At 39.2% G+C, this 15,928-nt stretch overlaps 1 protein-coding gene across 7 annotated transcripts in view; it reads left to right on the top strand.

Annotated features, from left to right (window-relative positions):
* The window catches only part of BAZ1A (bromodomain adjacent to zinc finger domain 1A), a 122,630-nt gene that overhangs the window by 49,433 nt on the left and 57,269 nt on the right, over positions 1-15,928 (top strand). For all 7 annotated transcript variants that reach the window (XR_007063978.1, NM_182648.2, NM_013448.3 and 4 more), the window contains one exon: positions 14,892-14,993. Coding sequence is in view for 6 of the 7 variants with exons in the window: in NM_182648.2 (NP_872589.1) it covers positions 14,892-14,993 (102 nt within the window). In the remaining variant the exon portion in view is untranslated. The remainder of the gene's footprint in view (positions 1-14,891; positions 14,994-15,928) is intronic.

The raw sequence follows: 15,928 nt of genomic DNA, 5'->3' as shown, positions 1-15,928 counted from the left end.
TTCACTCTTTTGCCCAGGCTGGAGTACAGTGGCTCGATCTCAGCTCACTGCAACTTCCACCTCCCAGGTTCAAGTGATTCTCCTGCCTCAGCCTCCTGAGTAGCTGGCATTACAGGCACCTGCCTCCATGCCCAGCTAATTTTTGTATCTTTGGTAGAGACAGGGTTTCACCATATTGGCCAGGCTGGTCTCAAACTCCTGACCTCAGGTGATCTGCCTGCCTCGGCCCCTCAAAGTGCTGGGATTACAGGCATGAGCCACCGCACCCAGCTGAAATAACTTTTCTTTCATCCTTTCCTTTTTTCCTTCTAGTCATACTATGGTATAGTACCCATCTAAACAATCTAGTTCAACAATGATGTTAGAATTTTCAAAATTGAAATTTTCCTAGTTCACGCTACTCAGCTGTTGAAGAGCCTCATTCAGTCATTTATACATCTCCCCCACCCTCTTTTTTTTTTTTTTTTTTTTTTTTTTTTTGAGACAGAGTTTCCATCTTGTTGCCCAGGCTGGAGTGCAATGGTGCAATCTCGGCTCACTGAAGTCTCCTGGGTTCAAGCGATTCTCCTGCCTCAGCCTCCCAAGTAGCTGGGATTACAGGCATGCACCACCACGCCCGGCTAATTTTGTATTTTTAGTAGTGACAGGGTTTCACCATGTTGGTCACGCTGGTCTCGAACTCCTGACCTCAGGTGATTGACCTACCTTGGCCTCCCAAAATGTTGGGATTACAGGCGTGAGCCACCACATCTGGCCCCTACTTTTGTTTACTTGAAAAAATCCATTCTGTACTTTAACAGTCATTCTCTTTGGGGCACATAATAAAGAAATGCTGTAACCACCTAAAATTCAGACAATTGATGGTCTGTGTCAGCTGGGTGCTGTTGGAGAAAAATCACACAAACATGTAGCTAGGAATTTAAAATCTCAGCTGAGTCTGCAACCAATTAAAAGTTCTTTTACATGTTTTAGCTCAGCAACCTCTTCTGTTCTCCTCAATGACTATTCTAAATCGTTATTTCTCCATTCTGGTCCCTTTTGGGCATCTCAGACTTCAAAATGCTTTCTCCCGCCTGTCTTGTGTCTTTCTTGGTTTCCTATTTTTAGTGAACAGTACCATAATGTTTAAAAAAGAAACCTGAGATCACTCTTACCTACTTCTCTTAATTACTTTGCTCCTGAAATACCAGTGTTGATAAGTTCTGTCTTTCAGAAACTTTTAGTTCAAGTTCTCATTTGGCCTGACATTAACTATTATAGCTATAACTAGCATTTGAGAATTGACTGTGATCAGGCACTGTGCTAAGTGCTTTATATGCATTTTGGTCAGTTCTGGAAGAGTGTTGTAATTCTAATTTAACAAGGAAAAACCTGAGACTTAGGAAGGTTAATTGGCTTTGTACAAGGTCATCTAACTAGCACATTGCCTGACAGAATAATTTTTAGGTGAGTGAATGAAGCATGACATGGTCCTGTATAAGTCTTTTGATACATCTCTTCTTTTTTTTTTTTTTTTTTTGAGTTGCTGCTTTTTTTTTTTTTTTTTTTTTTAAAGAGATGGAGTCCTGTTCTGTTGTCTAGGCTAGAGTGCAGTGGTGAGATCATAGCTCACTGCAGCTTCAAACTTCTGGGCTTAGGCAGTCCTCCTGCTTCATCGTCCCAAGTAGCTAGGACTACAGGTGCGTGCTACCATGCCTGGCTAATTTTTAATTTTTTTTTTTTTTTTTTTAAGTAGAGACACAGTCTTGCTATATAGCCCAGGCTGGTGTCAAACTCCTGGCTTCCCACCTCAGTCTCTTGAAGTGCTGGGATTACAGGCAGGAGCCACTGTGCCCGGCCAACTTGCTACTATTAACCAGAAAAATAAATTACTGTATTACTTGTCCATGTCTTCCATTAAATATAGGGTTTGGGATGCAAAATTTGTGGGATTTATAGTAGTAAATGTGTGTCCTTTAGCATGTCTGACAGTAGTTCATATGTTTTGTTTGGACAATGTCAAAGATTGTAACCTTTAAATGGAGTTAGTTATAAATCAGATGAGTGTATACATAGGTACAAATATAAGTAAACATGCAATTATTCATTAATAATAATAAATACAAAGTCTCTAATTTATTGGAATGCCTCTTGAAAATTTTAATTCAAGATAAAAAAACTAAGCCCAGTCTTAAAGGATTGAACACAGATTTTGTATATGAAAGGTATTTTTAAAATTCATGTTTAAATATGGTAAGCATTTATTTATCTGAAAAATTTTTTTTTTGAGATGGAGTTTCGCTCTTGTTGCCCAGGCTGGAGTACAATGGCACGATCTTGGCTCACTGGAACCCCCCATCTCTCGGGTTCAAGTGATTCTCCTGCCTCAGCCCCTCTAGTAGCTGGGATTAAAGGCATGTGCCACCACGCCCAGCTAATTTTTGTATTTTTAGTAAAGAAGAGGTTTCTCCAGGTTGGCCAGGCTGGTCTCGAACTCCTGACCTCAAGTGATCCACCCACCTTGGCCTCCCAAAGTGCTGGGATTACAGGTGTGAACCACTGCACCCGACCCATGTACTAACTTTTTTTTTTTTTGAGACAGAGTCTCACTCTGTCGCCCAGGCTGGAGTGCAGTGGCGCAGTCTCGGCCCACTGCAACCTCTACTTCCTGGATTCAAGTGATCTCCCGCCTTAGCGTCCTGAGTAGCTGAGACTACAGGCGCGTGCCACCACTCCCAGCTAGGTTTTATATTTTTTAGTAGAGAGTGGGTTTCACCATGATGGCCAGGCAGGTCTTGAACTCCTGACCTCAGTTGATCTACCCATATCAGCCTCCCAAAGTGCTGGGATTACAGGCGTGAGCCACCATGCCCAGCCCCATGTAGTAACTTTTCATATACTTTTCTAATTCTTTTAGGTGCTGTGAGGTGATCTGAGATGAGGACTGTGTAGATTCTGGGGGTCAGCATGCTGTTATTTAGCTCATGAATGTCCCTTTCTTTTTTAGATTTGAACATGAGCTACCTGCATATTTTGTGGCTAATTTGTTACTTTGAATACAAAGCACATTAATTCAAAATTTCAATTAGGAAATATTTTGCCTGTTATAAGGTAGCATTTTGAAGAAGACTTCCATTGGTGCATCCTACTTGTGACATTTATAGGAAGTTTACTACAAAGTATGATTGAATTTGCCCATAGGAGCAATCAGTCATAATTTCCTGACTAAATAGACTGTGCCATATCCCTTGTATACGGATACTTGGAATAGACCCTTGATATGAGAAAAGTGAATAAGCTGATGAATTATTTTTTGTTTTTTGTTTCTGTTTTTGAGACAGGGTCTCACCCTGTCACCCAGGCTGGAGTGTGCAATGGCGTGATCTCAGTTCACTGCAGCCTCGACCTCCTGGGCTCAAGCCAGCTTTCCTAGTAACTGGGACTACAGGTGCACACCACCCATGCCCAGCTAATTTTCTGTATTTTTTGTACAGATGGAGTTTCATCATGTTGCTCAGGCTGGTTTGGTATTCCTAAGCTCGAGTAATTCACCCACCTCAACCTCCTAAAGTGTTGGGATTACAGGCATGAGCCCCCATGCCTGGTCTAGTCAATTATTTATTCACAGGATTTTTTTGTTTTGTTTTGTTTTTTTGAGACAGAGTCTCACTGTGTCACCCAGGCTGGAATGCAGTGGTGAATCTCAGCTCACTGCAAACTCCACCTCCCTGGTTTAAGTGATTCTTCCACCTCAGCCTCCCAAGTAGCTGGGATTACAGGTGCATGCCACCACACCCAGCTAATGTTTGTATTTTTAGTAGAGACAGGGTTTTGCCATGTTGGACAGGCTGGTCTCAAACTCCTGACCTCAGGTGATACACCCGCCTTGGTCTCCCAAAGTGCTGGGATTACAGGTGTGAGCCACCACACCCTGCCTATTCACAGGTATTTTTATTTTTATTTTGAGATGGGGTTTTGCTCTTGTTGGGCAGGCTGGAGTGCAATGGTGCGATCTTGGCTTACTGCAACCTCTGCCTTCCAGGTTCAAGCGATTCTCCTGCCTCAGCCTCCGGAGTAGCTGGGATTACAGGCATGCACCACCACACCCGGCTAATTTTGTATTTTTAATAGAAATGGGGTTTCTCCATGTTGGTCAGGCTGGTCGCGAACTCCCAACCTCAGGTGATCTGCCCGCCTTGGCTTCCCAAAGTGCTGGGATTACAGGCGTGAGCCACCCTGCCTGGCTCACAATTATTTTTAACTAATTTGTCTATGATTAAAGAATCTGAGCCTTCACTATACATCAATATCATAAAATACGTACTTGTTTGTGGATTGCTACTGCTATATCTAGACATCATCAGATACCACAGGAAGGGTGAAACATAGCTGTCTTTGGACCTTATTATTTCTAAATTAATTCCCTAATTTTTAAAAGTTCTCTAATTTGAGTAATAAATTGACTTCCAGGTAATTTTCCCTGCCATCAAAACATAATCTGGATTTTCTCATGTTTTAGTAGGTTGTTTAAAGAAAAGGGAAGGGAACAAGTATTTATTCATTTATTTTTATTCATTTATTCATTAACATTTTTTCATGTTAGGCTTATAACAACACTCACATAAATTGTTTTGTTTCTTAGAATCATTCTGTAATGGTAGATGGACATATCCTTATATCACTTAGTAGAAATGGAAGTTCGGAATTAGGAAATTTGCCCAGCATCACATGGCTCATTATGTCTACAAGATATATGCAGTGTTGTCAAGATGTCAGTTCTTCCCATCTTGATCTATAGGTTTATCCCTACTTAATTTGTAGGTTCAATGCATTCCCAATCAAAATCCCCGCAAGTTATTTTGTGGATATCAGCAAACTGATTATAAAGTTTATATGGAGAGACGGGAGACCCAGAATAGCCAACACAATATTGAAGAACAAAGTCAGAGAACTGACACTACCCAGCTTCAAGACTTACTCTGAAACTACACTAATCCATAAAGTGTGGTATTGGTGAAAGTATAGACAGATCGATCAATGAATCAGAATAAAGACTTCTGAAATAGACCCACATAAATGTAATCAACTGACCTTTGACAAAGCAGCAAAGGCAAAACAGTAGAGAAAAGATAGTCTTTTCAATCAGTAGTGCTAGAAAAACCTGGATATCTACATGTAAAAAAAAAAAATCTAGACATAGACTTTATACTTTTTACAAAAATTAACTCAAAATGGTTTGTAGACCTAAGTGTAAAACCCCTAGAAAAGATAGAAGAAAAGCTAGATGACCTTGGATATGGTGATAATTTTTTAGATATAACACAAAAGGCATAACCCATGAAAGAAGTAACTGATAAACTGGACTTGATTAAAATTATAAACACTTTTACTCTGCAAAAGACCTTGTCAAGAGAATGAGAAGTCAAGCCACAGAGTGTTTTGCAAAAGATAATCTGATGAAGGATTGTTATCCAAAATATACAAATAACTCTTAAATCTCAATATTAAGACAATGAGGGCTGGGCACCATGGCTCACGCCTGTAATCCCAACACTTCGGGAGGCCAAGGGGGGTGGATTGCTTGAGCTCAGGAGTTTGAGACCAGCCTGGGCAACATAGTGAAACCCCCATCTCTACAAAAAACCACACAAAAAAATCAGCCGGGTATTGTGGTGTGTGCCTGTAGTCCCAGCTACTCGGGAGGCTGAGGTGGGAGGATGGCTTGAACCTAGGAGGTGGAAGTTGCAGTGAGCTGATTGAGCCACTGCACTCCGGCCTGGGTGACAAAGCCAGACCCTGTCTCAAAAAAAAAAAAAAAAAAAAAAACGAGGAACCCAATTAAAAAATGGCAAAAGATCTGAACAGATACCTCACCAAAGAAGCCATATAGATGGCAAGTAAGCATATGAAAAGATGTTCAACATCATATGTCATTAGGGAATTGTAAATTAAAACAACAATGAGATATGACTATGTACTTATTAGAATGACCAAAATCCAGAACACTGACAACACCAAATGCTAGTGAGCATGTGGAGCAACAGGAACTCCATTTATTGCTGGTGGAAGTGAAAAATGGCATAGCCACTTAAGAGGACAGTTTGGCAGTTTCTTATAGTACCAAACATACTTTTATATGATGTAGCAATTGCATGCTTTGGTATTTACTCAAATGAATTGGAAACTTTACATTCACACAAAAACCTGCACATGGATGTTTATAGTAGCATTATCTGTAACCTCCAAAACATTGAAGCAACTAAGATGTCCTTCAGTAGGTGAGTGGATAAACTGTGGTACATAAAGACAATGGACTATTATTCAGCACTAAAAAGAAATTAGATATTAAACCATGAAAAAACACGGAGAAAGTTTAAATGCACATGTACTAAAAGAAATTTAAATGCATATGTACTAACTGAAATAAATGTACTATATATTTAAACTCACATGGGTATATGCCTATATACATTATACAATCTGAAAAGTCTACATACTTATGATTCCAACTATGACATTCTGGAAAAGGCACAGCTATGGAGACAGTAAAAGGATAAGTGGTTGCCAGGGGTTTTAGAGAAGGAGGGATGAATACTCAGAGCACAGAGGATTTCTGGGGCATTGAGACTATTGTGTACAATACAGTAGTGCTCCCATATCCATGGGGGATATGTTCCAAGACCTTCAGTGGATTCCTGAAACCACAGATAGTACCAAACTATATACCCTATGCACGAATTTCATTTTCCTCCTTCACAATTTCATGAATAGAAGATTCATTCTTTTTTTTTTTTTTTTTTTTTTTTTTGAGACAGAGTCTTGCTCTGTCGCCCAGGTCGGAGTGCAGTGGCGTGATCTCAGCTCACTGCAAGCTCCGCCTCCCGGGTTCATGCCATTCTCCTGCCTCAGCCTCCCGAGTGGCTGGGACTACAGGCGCCTGCCACCACGCCCGGCTAATTTTTTGTATTTTTAGTAGAGATGGGGTTTCACCGGATTAGCCAGGATGGTCTCGATCTCCTGACCTCGTGATCCGCCCGCCTCGGCCTCCCAAAGTGCTGGTATTACAGGCTTGAGCCACTGCGCCCGGCCGAAGATTCATTCTTATCATAGATTAATTTAGCAACCTCAGCATACAATTTTTTATTCCTTATTAAGTCCAGAAATTTTACCTTTTCACTTAAAGGAAGCACTTTACGGCTTCTCTTTGGCATATACACGGTGTATACAGTGTGGATATGTAAGACAAATGGAAGATTCATGTCCTGGGTGGGATGGGACAGGACGACATGCAATTTAAAACTTATGAATTATTTATTTCTGGAATTTTTTTTCTTTAATGTTTTCAAACCACAGGAGGATACCTGTCATTATATACATTTGTGAAAACCCATAGAATATGTAACACTGAGAGTGAACACTAAACTGTTGACTTTGGGTGATAGTTATGTGTCAATAAAGTTTAGTAATTTAAAAAATGTATATTTAATGCCCTTTTAACTATTTTTAAATGTGCAACTCAGTGGCATCAATTACATTCACAGTGTTGTACAACTATCACCACTATTTACTTTGAAATAGAAATTTTGTATCCATTAAGCTATAACTTTGTGTTTCTCCCTCCTCCCAGCCCCTAGGAACCTCTGATCTACTTTGTCTTTTTGAATTTTCTATTCTAGATATTTTGTATAGGTAGAAATAGGTTATGTTTGCCCTTTTGCATCTGGCTCATTTCACTTAGCATGTTTTCAGGGTTCATCCGTATTGTAGCACAATCAGGAACTTTATTCCTTTTTATGGCTGAATAATCCATTGTATGTGTATATCACATTTTGTTTATCCATTCATCTATTGATAGGTATTTGGATTGTTTCCACCTTTTGGTTACTGTAAATAATGCTGCATTGAATATTGGCATATAGGGATCTGCTTGAGTCCCTGTTAGAAATTCATGCGGGTATATGCCTAGAAGTGGATTGCTGGGTCATATGGTAATCTATGCTTAACTTTTTGAGGAACTGCCAAACTGCTGTTCCCAGTAGCTGTGCCACTTTACATTCTCACCTGCAGTATCAGAGGGTTCCAGTTTCACCATACACTTGGCATCAGTTGTTATACTCTGGTTTTTAAAAATTATAGTCATCCTTATCGGGTGTAAAATGGTATCTCATGGTTTTGATTTACATTTCCCTAATGACTAATGATGTTGAGTATCATTTCATGTGCTTATGGCCATTTGTATATTTTTTTGCAGAAATACCCATTCAAGTTCTTTGCCTATTTTTAAATTGGGTTGTTTGTCTTTTTGTTGTTGAGTTACAGAGTTGTGTTTTTTTGTTGTTGTTTTGTTTTGTTTTGTTTTGTTTTGAGACAGACTGGCTCTGTTGCCAGGCTGTTGCGCAACAGCGCAATCTTGGCTCACTGCAACCTCCGCCTCCCAGGCGCAAGAGATTCTCATGCCTCAGCCTCCTGAGTAGCTGGGATTACAGGTGTGTGCCAACACCTCCAGCTAATTTTTGTATTTTTAGTAGAGATGGGGTTTTGCCATGTTGGCCAGGCTGGTCTCAAACTCTTGGCCTCAAGTAATCTGCCCACCTCAGCCTCTCAAAGTGCCGAGATTACAGGCATGAGCCACTGTGCCCAGCCTAAGTTACAGAGTTTTTAAATAATATATTCTGACCACCAGAGTTTTAAAAATATCTTGATATATTTGGGGGGGGGTGTATTGATTTATATTTATAAGTAAAAGTAAATTTTATTTAAAAATTGACTTCTTGGCTATTATTTAATAGGACTGGATAAGAGTTTGGGCTGCATTTTAGAAACAATATTTTGTTATATAAGATTGAGGTAAAGAGGATTAGGGTTTTATCTCCTAGTCTTTCTCTCTGAAATTTTACATAAGTATTGTGTCTGCTTTCAATAATTTTTTTTTTACTCTTAATGTTTGCCGTTCAAGAATTGGCCCAGTAATGTTATATTGTCCGCTATTGTTCCTTTCACTCAAAAATTACTAATAGATTTTTAAAGAAAATTTATATGTAAATATCCTTACTATTTGGTGAGATCACATTGTGTGTAATTACTTGATACAGGTTTCCCCTGTTAACAGCCAAATAATGAAGTTGATCTACAATCACAAATTCTCTGGAATCTGAACTAAATTGATAGACAGTCCTGACTCAGACAGTCACTAGTTTTCCATCTGATTTTAGTAGCCAGATGTGCCAGGTATAGGTGAGTTTGTGTAGTTGCTTTTAGAATTTATAAAAGAAACCAAATAAGGTATTTGTAGCAGCTCAGATTAGTATGTGAATGATGCTTTCTAATAATATAATCTGTTATTGTGATTTAAAGCTATCAGGCTGCTGCCTGTTTTTTACAGTGGATCAAGTTTTATGGAACCATCTCTAAACACATAACAAAAGCTGAAGTACATTATAGAAAATCCTTTAGCCTGACCTGAAAATAGTACATGAATACATGAGTACACTTTTGGTTACCTATCCTGTCCTGATGGTGATTTGCAGGAGTACAAGGGCAAACTATTTTAGAAACATCTGGGGCTGGGCGTGGTGGCTCACGCCTATAAATCTCAGCACTTTGGGAGGCCAGGGCGGGTGGATCACGAGGTCAGGAGATCAAGCCCATCCTGTCTAACACGGTGAAACCCCATCTCTACTAAAAATACAAAAAATTAGCCAGGCGTGGTGGCACGTGCCTGTAGTCCCAGCTACTTGGGAGGCTGAGGCAGGAGAATCACTTGAACCCAGGAGTCGAAGGTTGCAGTGAGCTGAGATTGCACCATTGCACTCCAGCCTGGGTGACAGAGCGAGACACTATCTCAAAAAAAAAAAAAAAAAAAAAAAAAGGTCTGGAATAATATGTATGTAGCTTCAAAATATATGTACTTTGATGCAGTATAGTCTAGCCGTCATTATAACTTGACTAATCGTTAGTAAGATAAATGAAATCTGAGTGTTATTTTTAAAGAAGCAGACCTAATTGTTTTGCTGTTTGTAGTTCCATGGATGGAAACTTAATGCGTGAGAAATAACATTAGCATTTTAAATTTTTATACATATATATATCTCCTGTGCCTAATCATTTAGTGGGTTGTCATTGTAGAATAGTTGTGAACACAATTTGATGATTTCTCTTAAAAGAAACCTTTATGTTGAAAGTATACAAGTTTTTTTGGTCATTTCTGTGGTGCTGATACAGAAAATTGTTTAATTTTTTATAACTTTATTGTCAAATGTTCATAATATATTAGGAAAAACAACTCCCATTATGGTAAAATCAAAGTAGAATTAAAATTTACATATATAACTAGGCATATTGAAATAAACATTTGTGAAATTTTGTTGTGAATGAATAATCGGAATGGTGTTTTGATTTTATTAGTACAATATTTGATGTTTGCTTGTTGTAGAACTAAACACAGGTCTACACTTGTTGGTAATAAAATGGTGGGTCACCATCATAATTGAGATCACTAAATTCAACTTGATTAAACTATTTAGGCCAAGGCTTTGGGTAGCAAGAAAAATGATTAAAATGTAAGTTTTTTAAAAATATTATCCTTGTAGTTTCTATCTTGTAGGTGAATTCATATTATAAGAAGCAGTTTTTCTTGGTCTCCAGTAATTGTGCTTCTTTGGGAAGAATGCAATTAGGATTTTATTTTATATAGAATTTTGCATAAGTATTATAGATAGCAAAGCCCCAGTAAGAATATTTTCACTGATTAGAAAAAAATTTCTATTTATCTTCACAAATGAATTTCATGGTACGGCAAGAAAAGTAAAAGATAATTGTTTGCACATATAAACTCGCACATTTTACAGCCTTAAATCCATTAAGATATAGTCTGTGGCCAGGCGCAGTGGCTCACGCCTGTAATCCCAGCACTTTGGGAGGCCAAGGTGGGTGGATTACCTGAGGTCAGGAGTTCGAGACCAGCCTGGCCAACATAGTGAAACCCTGTCTCTACTAAAAATACATAAAATTAGCTAGGTGTGGTGGCGGGCACCTGTAATCCCAGCTACTCGGGAGGCTGAGGCAGGAGAATCTCTTGAACCCAGGAAACGGAGGTTGCAGTGAGCCGAGACCGCACCATTGCACTCCATCCTGGGCAACAAGAGCAAAACTGTCTCAAAAAAAAAAAGATAAGGTCTGGTACGGTGGCTCACACCTGTAATCCCAGCACTTTGGGAGGCTTGAGGTGGGAGCATTGCTTGAGCCCTGGAGTTCTAAACCAGCCCTGGGCAATGTGGAGAAACCCTGTCTCTACAAAAAAAAAATACAAAAAATTAGCCGGGCATGGGTGGCACATGCCTGCAGACCCAGCTACCCGGGAGATTGAGATAGGAGGATCACTTGAGCCTGGGAGGTTGAAGCAGCAGTGAGCCGTGATTGCGCCACTGTATTCCAGCCTGGACCACCGAGTGAGACCCTGTCTCCCCCAAAAAAGGTCCATATACAAGTTTTCTAGACTGTATACCAATATCTGAATACTCAGAATCTAAATTTTTAGGAATTGCTACTCACATCTTGGTTTTCTCTCCTGTTAGTATATTATTTTATAATTCACTAAAATGTGGGGGAAATAAGATTTTTTGTGTATTTAATTGGTTATATAAAATATATTTATATGTTAATATATAATGCATAGTAAAATATAAATTTATAACATAATTAGATATAGCCACTGGTAATAATTTTAAGTACAACTTAATATACTTGATCAAGCTCTTATAAAATGGTAGTGGTTAGTTGCTAAGTTGAGACCTATTCAAAAAGTATTAACATAATTTTCTTGTTCTTAAACTGCTGCTAATTCATTAAAACTCACTTGTTTTTCCTTGTCTTTATTTCAATAAATTTTCTTTCTTTTTTTTTTTTTTGATACAGACTCTTGCTCTGTTGCCCAGGCTGGAGTACAGTGGTGCGACCTCGGCTCACTGCAACCTCTGCCTTCTGGGTTCAAGCAGTTCTCCTGCCTCAGCCTCCTAAGTAGCTGGGGCTACAGGCGCAGGCCACCAAGGCCGGCTAATTTTTGTATTTTCAGTAGAGACGAGGTTTCACCATGTTGGCCAGGCTAGTCGCAAACTAAACTAATGACCTCATGATCTGCCTGCCTCAGCCTCCCAAGGTGCTGGGATTACAGGTGTGAGCCACCACACCTGGCTGAAATTTTGTTACTGAGAACTCTTGTCGTTGCTTCGTTTGTTTTTTATTTGATCATATTGTTATTATTATTTTGAAGACGGAGTTTCGCTCTTGTTGCCCAAGCTGGAATGCAATGGCACAATCTCGGCTCACTGCAACCTCTGCCTCCCAGTTCAAGCGATTCTCCTGCCTCAGCCTCCTGAGTAGCTCGGATTACGGGCACTCACCACCACACCTGGCTAACTTTTTGTATTTTTAGTAGAAACGGGGTTTCACCATGTTAGCCAGGCTGGTCTCCAACTCCTGACCTCAGGTGATCCACCTGCCTCGGCCTCCCAAAGTGCTGGGATTACAGGCGTGAGCCACTGTGCCCAGCCTGTTTGTTTTTTGAGACAGGGTCTTGCTCTGTCACCCAGGCTGGAGTGCAGCGACACAATCACAACTCACTGAAGCCTCCAGTCAGGCTCAAGTGGTCCTCCCATCTCAGCCTCCAAAGTAGCTGGGACCACACACACATGCCATCATATCCAACTAGGTTTTGTGTGTGTGTGTGTGTGTGTGTTTTGTAGGTTTCCCCATGTTGCCAAGGTTGGTCTCAAACTCCTCAGCTCAAGTGATCCACAAGCCTTGGCCTCACAAAGTGCTGCAATTACAGGTGTGAGCCATCACACCCGGCCAGCAGTGCTTCTTTCTTTACATTTAGAATTCTCTATTTGATCTGTCCTCTTGGAACAGTGCTTTTCATACCACAGGTTGTTATGGCCCCACGTAGGTTGTGAAATTAACTTGGTAATAAACTTTAATAGAATAGAAAATACTAGATACTCCATATAGTACAGGTGCATATTTAAATACATCTACTGCTTTATGTATATACTGAGTCTTAGTGTAAAGATACTTGGCCTTCCAACTTAGAATTTAATGCTATTGTAGGTAAATACTCTAGTTTTACTTGTTTAATTGTATCATATCCCTTTTGTGTTAAACACTTTCCCTGCTTTATGTGTGCTATATTTATGTAACTTTATATCTTATTCTCATTGCCAATGCTTCTCTTAATCATCTTACCATATCATTTTCTGCTCTTCTCTATAACCCCCACTTACATCCTCTTTACATTCACAGAGGTGGCATTTTCAGAATCCTACCTCTTCTCTCTATTGCTGCTACTTCCATTTAAGTCCATGCTGCAATCAGTTCTCAGTAGCTTTCTAACTGGTATTCCTGTTTACACTCTTGCCCCAGAGTGTCTTCCCCAGAGTGTCTTTTCCACATAGCAGCCAGAGTGACCCTTCTGAAGTGTAAGTTAAGTCATTATCACCTTATTATTAAAAATCCTCTAGTGACTACTCAATATCCAAAGTCTCATAATCTGGCACTGCTGCTACATCTCTGAATCTTCTTTCATTTTCCTTATTCATTCTGCTACTTGTCTAAATTGTGCATGCCTCCTTCCACCTCAGGGTTTTTACTTTTTTTCTCTTTTTTAAAAAATTCATTTCCCCAAGGTTTTTCATGAGTTGCTCCCTTTTTTTTGTTCCCCTCCCCCCCCAGATCTCTGCTTAAATATCAACCTCTTTGAAGGCATACTCGGTCAACTTATCAGAGATCACTATCTGTATAAAATAATGGCTCCCCCACCCTGCACTCTGTTCTCTTCATAGCACTTATCACTTCTCCTGTTGTATGTGTTTTTGTTTGCCTGTATCTCGTCACTGTTTCTATTTTGTTGACTGCTGAATCTTCACTATTTAGAGTAGTTTCTGGCATATTGCGGGCTCTTAACTATTGAATAAATAAATAAATACCCTCAAAGGGAAGAAAAGATGTGAAGTTGGTGGGGGGTAGGGATTAAATGTGTAGTCTCTTGGTCAATTAAACTACATTGTCTCCATTTTTATTCTTGGATTATATAGCTGTAAATAAAGTTTAAAAGCAAATCCAAGAACTTTTTTTATTTTTATTTTTTACTCTTTAAACTGGGTAGTCTATGCTTCATCTCTAGTTACTTTCTTCACCCAAAGAAAATGTAGTGAATGAGTAGCTAAAATACCTACCTAAAACAAAATAGTGCTTTTTTCTGTTTTGGCTAATAGAATGGTGGAGGCAGGGATCAGTAACTTATAAAACCCCAGTTAAAGTAAAAATGCATGGCCATGTACAGTGGCTCATGCCTGTAATGCCAACACTTTGGGACGCCAAGGTAGGAGGATCTCTGGGGGCCAGGAGTTTGAGGCTGCACTCAGCTTTGATGATTCCATTGCACTCCAGCCTGGGTGACAAGGCGAGACTCTGTCTCTTAAAAAAAAAATAAAATTTTAAAATTTTGAAATATGTGGCCAAGCACAGTGTCTCATGCCTGTAATCCCTGCACTTTGGGAGGCCAAGGTAGGCAGATCACCTGAGGTCAGTAGTTCGAGACCAGCCTGACCAATGGTGAAACGCTACCTCTACCAAAAATACAAAATTAACTGGGCATGGTGGTGCATGCCTGTATCCCAGCTACTTAAGAGGTTGAGGCAGGAGAATAGTTTGAACCCAGGAGGCGGAGGTTGCAGTGAGCTGAGACTGCACCATTGCATTCCAGCCTGGGCAACAAGAGTGAGACTCCATCTCAAAAACAAAAAAAAATTTTGAAATATGTGATTTTATTATAGTATATTCTTAGAAACTAGGTTTTCATTTAAAATTTCATTTTCCAAATTATTAACTGATTTGTGTCTTTTCCCTCTTCTTTTTAGGAAGAAAAAAGATGCAATTGATCCCTTACTATTCAAGTATAAAGTGCAACCCACTAAAAAAGAATTACATGAGTCTGCTATTGTTAAAGCAACACAAATCAGGTAAAACTCACTATCTTCTCAATAGTAGTTTAAAGTAGAATAATTATGTATGTTAGATTAAGAAGGTCTGATGTAGAACAAATGGGAAGTACTGTGATTGCTTTCCTTCTTAAAAATAAATGTACATTTATATGTTCATAGACTGATTAAAATAAATCCTAAGAATCCTGATGGAGGCCAGGTGCAGTAGCTCATGTCTGTAATCCTAGCACTTTGACAGGCCAAGCCAGGAGGATCACTTGAGGCCAGGAGTTCAGGACCAGCCTGGACTACGTGGCAAGACCCTGTCTCTATTAAAAAAAAAAAATCCTAATGGACTTATTGAGCCATTTGTTTAGATGACTAACCCCAAATAGTCTTCTATCTAAAGAATTAAAAAGGGTCCTATTTATGAAGTACTTTTCATGAGATAACTCAATTTTTAATGTTAATAAAGGTGCTTATAAACGTCACGTTTGTAGTATTCATTAGACAAACATTTGATCAGTTTTTTCCTATTCATTAAGAAAGTTAAATCATAAAAAATGAGTATCTTTAAAAAGTTCCTGTTTGAGGCCTAATCAAAGGAGACAGAAGTTAATGTAAGAAGTTGCTTTAGTGAGTAGTTAATACGTAAAAGAACTGGCTTTAGGTTATACAGATATATTTTAGGAAAATCCCTATTGTTGTCTGTTGGGTTTAGGCTCTTAGTCATCTGAAAGCAAGATGATATCAGCCAGCTATCAACCTGCCACCTAGGAGTCAGTCTTGTATTTCATTTAGTGTAAAATAATTTTTGCTTATGTTCTCATCCCTTTTGTTCCATATATATTCATGTATCCAAACGAAAGTGATAATAATATAAGTATTAAGAGAATCCTGAGATAGATATATCACTTTCTGTGGCTGTATTGAGGTGTGTGTGGTTTGTTGGTTGGTTGGTTTTGGGGGGCTCA

This window comes from Homo sapiens, chromosome 14, assembly GCF_000001405.40.
Source record: "Homo sapiens chromosome 14, GRCh38.p14 Primary Assembly".
Taxonomy (NCBI): Eukaryota; Metazoa; Chordata; class Mammalia; order Primates; family Hominidae; genus Homo; species Homo sapiens.
This window is presented reverse-complemented; position numbering and strand designations above follow the sequence as displayed.